Source organism: Homo sapiens, chromosome 1 (genome assembly GCF_000001405.40).
Source record: "Homo sapiens chromosome 1, GRCh38.p14 Primary Assembly".
NCBI lineage: Eukaryota > Metazoa > Chordata > Mammalia > Primates > Hominidae > Homo > Homo sapiens.
The window spans coordinates 240,634,162-240,639,690 of record NC_000001.11 but is presented as its reverse complement, the minus strand read 5'-3'; the positions used below and the strand labels follow the sequence as shown (position 1 = coordinate 240,639,690).

Below are 5,529 nucleotides of genomic sequence, written 5' to 3'. Positions count from 1 at the left end.
TTTCATGCTGCAAGTTTCCAGGCAGAAGCCTTGGTCCTTGAAGCAATGCCTTGATATTATCCTCCCGCTTCATCGCTTCCTTCTCACCCAAAAGCTGAAGACTGGACATCAGGCCTTCTGGAACATTGTCAAGTCTTCGCAACAGCAGGTCTCAGGGTTTTTTTCATTATAACCCATGGGAGAGGAATATAATAGTACATAGCGACTGTGTGCACATATACAAATACATAATCATATACAAATAGGAAACAAAAGCTTCCACAACAAAATTTACCCTTAACACACTTTTTTTTTTGAGACAGCCTCCCTCTGTTGCCCAGGCTGGAGCGCAGTGGTGCAATCTCAGCTCACTGCAACCTCTGCCTCCCGGGTTCAAATGATTCTCCTGCTTCAGCCTCCCAAGTAGCTGGGATTACAGGCATCTGCCACCATGTCCAGTTAATTTTTGTACTTCTAACAGAGACAGGGTTTCACCATGTTGGCCAGGCTGGTCTTGAACTCCTGGCCTCAGATGATCCACCTGCCTCGGCCTCCCACAGTGCTGAGATTACAGGAATGAGCCACCGCGCCTGGCCCCCTCACACACTTTGGTATTTTCTCCTTGCTTACCCTTTTTTTTTGTTCTATTTTGTCTGCTTTGTTATTTTTAATCTTGCTGATCCTAATCCACCAAATTGATTTCATGATTTACTAAGGGGTCAGGGAATAGAGTTTGAAAAACATTGCTCTGAATATTGTGGATGAGAGAAAAATGGTGGCTGCAGTTTTCTCTCTGAGCTGATGAACAATCCCAATTAGGAAAACAAAATTTTCAGAGTTTGAGGCCCAGTTATATTCATTGCCTTTATTCATTGCCGTCTTCCTTTACTAGCTCTCAAACAGAACTACCATTTTGAAGTTTTGTCCAAATGGTAAGCTCCTGCCAGAATTTTCATTTTAAGATGGAATAAAGGTGTGTAGGACTTTTTAGATTGATGACCTGGGAGAGGTTTAGGGGATCGTGTACAGAAACTTTCAGATTTTAACTATGTTTTGTAATGCTTTGTAAAGCATGTACCCATAACCTACCCGTAATGTAGGTTATGGGAACATGCTTACTAATTGTACTGTTCTCCATACTTTTTATATGCCAGAATTATTTCATAATAATAAAAAGAGACTGGCAAAAATGGGAAAGAAATATCAAACACATTCATATAATAAGGATGAGCTAGGAAAGGGGATGAGCCACCCGAAAAATAACTTTAGGCCGGGCGCGGTGGCTCATGCTTGTAATCTCAGCACTTTGGGAGGCCAAGTGGGGGCGGATCACCTGAGGTCAGGAGTTCCAGACCAGCCTGATCAACATCGTGAAACCCCTTCTCTAATAAAAATAGAAAAAAATTAGCTGGGTGTGGTGGTGGATGCCATTAATCACAGGTACTCAGGAGGCTGAGGCAGGAGAATCACTTCAACCCAGGAGACAGAGGTTGCAGTGAGCCGAGCTCACTACCCTCCAGCCTGGGTGACAGAGTGAGGCTGTGTCTCAAAAAATAAAAAAAAAGAATTTCATGTCTGGGCATGGTGGCTTACACCTCTAATCCCAGCACTTTGGGAGACTGAGGTGGGAGAACCGCTTGAGCACACGAGTTCATTCGAGACCAGCCTGGGCAATCAGTGAGACCTCAGCTCTAGAAAAAAATATTTTTTTTAATTAGCCAGTTGTGGCGGTGCATTCCTATAGTCCCAGCTACTTGGGAGGCTGAGGTGGGAGGATTGCTTGAGCCTGGGAATTGGAGGTTGCCATGAGCTGAGATTGTGCCATTTTACTCCAGCCTGGGAGACAGAGTGAGACCCTGTCTCAAAAAATAATAATAATTAATGAATTATTTATTTGTTTTGTAATTTTAGATTCACGGGGTACATGTGTAGGTTTATTACATGAGTCTATAGCTTGATGTTGAAGTTTGGGCTTCTAATGATCCAGTCACCCAAGTAGTAATCATAGTACCTGATAGGTAGTTCGCAAAAGAATTTTATATATGACATATCAAGTTGAAAACTTAAGACCCAAACTCCAGCAGCTTGGTAGGATCCAAAAGCTAATTCTTAGTTACTTTTCCCATGTTCGTTCCCAACCTCCTCCAAGATGTATACTAATGATAACAGCTAACATTTATTGAGTACATATTCTGTCTCAGACTACACAACTAGTGTCACCTACATCTTTTCATTTAATCCTCACAATAACCTTCAGGAGAAGACTGTTATTATCCCCACTTTAGAGATAAGAAAAACAGTATTAGGATGGCTAGGTAACTTGCCAAATGTTATACACCTAGTAAGAACAGGCGGAGCCAGAAATGCAAATCAAATTCCCTTAACCTCCAAAATCTACTGTCTCACAGAAGACAATGAAGAAAGAAGTGTATGTTAGTCCATTTTCACACGGCTGATAAAGGCATACCCGAGACTGGGAAATTTATAAAGAAAAAGAGGTGTAATGGACTCACAGTTCCACGTGGCTGGGAGGCCTCACAATCATGGCAGAGGGTAAAAGTCACATCTTACATGGTGGCAGACAAGAGAGAATGAGAGCCAAGTGAAAGGACTTTCCTTTTATAAAACCGTCAGACCCTTTTTTCAGGCGGCCGGGAAGACGGCGGTCACTCAGACAGACGGTGCCTACTAAAAGCAGCCGACCACCTTTCAAAACAAGAAGAGGGTCCTGCTGGGAGACACTGGCAGGAGAAGTCCCCGTTGTACTACAAGAACATCAGTCTGGGCTTCAAGAGGCTATTGAGGGCGCCCACATTGACAAGAAATGCCCCTTCACTGGGAATGTCTCCATTCGAGGGTGGGTCCTCTCTGGCGTGGTGACCAAGACGAAGATGCAGAGGATCATTGTCATCTGCCGAGACTGCACTACATCTGCAAGTACAACCGCTTCAAGAAGGGCCACAAGAACATGTCCGTACAACTGTCCCCCTGCTTCAGGGACGTCCAGATCAGTGACATCGTCACAGTGGGCGAGTGCCAGCCCCTGAGCAAGACGGTGCGCTTCGATGTGCTCAAGGTCACCAAGGCCGCCAGCACCAAGAAGCAGTTCCAGGAGCTCTGAGGCTGGACATCAGCCTGCTCCCCACAACGAAATAAATTTATTTTCTCATTCCCAGGCAAAAAACCACAAAAAACAAAAAACGAAAAACAAAACCATCAGATCTCATGAGACTTACTCACTACCACGAGATCAGTATGGGGGAAACCGTCCCTATGATTCAATTATCTCCCACTGGAGCCCTCCTATAACACGAGGGTATTACGTGAGCTGTAATTCAAGATGAGATTTGGGTGGGGACACAGCCAAACCATATCAAAGTGATACACTGTTTAACTTAATCCATTGTAATAATAGATCACCTGTTTAGATTGAATGCATTAGAGCAGCAGAATCTTTTACCTCCAGTCATTAAGAATTAAGACAGAGATGGCTGTGTTTATAGCTACTGGAAACTTAAAGAGGGAGAGAGTCCAGCAAACAGAGTCTTTGGGGAAATCTGGCATCTTCGAGGCAATCTGTAAGACAGAGAAAGTTTATTAATAAGCCACATATGGCCACCCTTGCCACATCAGGGAGGCACATGTGTGGTACAGGCAGCTGTGATAGCAGCCGTGGGGCCTGGAGAATTCCAGTCCCAGGTTTTATGAGGAGTTAGTGGAGATTTGAAGCAAGCACACAGTAGCAAGCAGTCCTCTTGGGACAGCCCCACCCTTTTGTGTCGTTGTTATATTTTTCAATCTCTCTTGTAAAACTGCCTATGTCTCTGCCTTTCAGCCCCAGGGAAATAACAGCTCTATTGAATAAAGCATCCAATCACCAGAAGCTGTAAGAATCATTCTCATATACGAAGAGGCGTGCAAACTTAGAATGACACGCAGAAGTGGTGCTGAGGAATGGGGGCGGGGGAAGTAGATAGAATGCTGGGTTAGAACTCAGTGGAATCCCTTACCACTCATTAGCTATCTAAACCTAAGCAAGCGGCCGGCGCGGCGGCTCACGCCTGTAATCCCAGCACTTCGGGAGGCCAAGGCAGGCAGATCACCTGAGGTCAGGAGTTCAAGACCAGCCTGTCCAACATGGTGAAACCCTGTCTCTACTAAAAATACAAAAATTTGGATGTGGTGGCGTGTGCCTGTAATCCCAGCTACTCAGGAGGCTGAGGTAAGAGAATCGCTTGAGCCTGGGAGATGGAGTTTTCAGTGAGCCGAGATCATGCCACTGCACTCCAGCCTGGGCGACAGAGCAAGACTCTGTCTCAGAAACAAACAAACAGACAAACAAACTAAACCTAAGCAAATCTGGGTTTCGCCACTCTGGAGTTTCTGAGTTTTTCCTCCAATGGAAACTTTTCTCTCAGTCCTTTAACATGCTTCAAAATTTGCCTTCTTAAATAATAAAATATAAACAGGGTGCCTTTTCTTGGTCAAAAACACCTGTCATGGGACCGGGCATGGTGGCTCATGCCTGTAGTCCTAGCACTTTGGGAGGCCAAGTCAGGTGGATCACTTTAGGTCAGGAGCTTGAGACCAGCCTGGCCAACATGGTGAAAACCCATCTCTACTAAAAATACAAAAAGTAGCCAGGCATGGTGGCGGGAGCCTGTAATCCCAGCTACTCAGGAGGCTGAGGCAGGAGAATCACTTGAACCTGGGAGGCAGAGTCTGCAGTGAGCCGAGATCACGCCATTGCACTCCAGCCTGGGCAACAGAGCAAGACTCTGTCTCAGAAAACAAAAACAAAAACAAACAACAACAACAACAAACACATCTGTCATGGGACAAACTCCAAAAAGTTTGTACATTGACATCCTCACCCCCAGTACCCCAGAATATGACCATATTGGGGGATTGGGTCTTTAAAGGGTTAATGAGGTTACTACGAGGTCACTAGGCTTCTAATCCAATATGACTGATGTCTTTACATGAAAAGGAGATTAGAACACAGACACAGAAGAAAAGACCATGTGAGGACACAGGAAGCAGATGGCCATCTACAAGCCAAGGAGAGAGGCCTCAGAAGGAACCAACCCTGCTGACACCGTGATCTCAGATTTTAGCCTTCAGAATTGTGAACAAGTAAATTTCTGTTGCTGAAGCCACTCAGCTGTGGTATTTTGTTATGGCAGCCCCAGCAAACTAATACAACTAATACAACACCTCACCTAATTAAGATAAAACGTATACAACACCAAGTTAAGAAATTGGTGCTTAATCGGGGATGCTTGCTCAAAAAGGCATGGAGCAAAATTGATAAGAGCAGCAACTCCTTTGTATGTTGCAAGGTGCCAAGTACTGTGCTGAGCACTCGGCATGGATTGAATCGTTTCACCCTCATAGTAGATCCTACAAACAGTATTATTATTCTCACTTTACAAATGAGAAAACAGAATCAAAGAGCTTGTGGCACTCACTTGGAATCACACAGCTAATCAGTGGCAGAGCTGAGATTGAAATCCATAGGCTGGGGCTGGCCGTGTTGGCTCACACCTG

General features: G+C 44.8%; 1 pseudogene; it reads left to right on the top strand.

The window, feature by feature from the left end:
* RPS11P2 (ribosomal protein S11 pseudogene 2) lies at window positions 2,618-3,157 on the top strand (annotated as a pseudogene).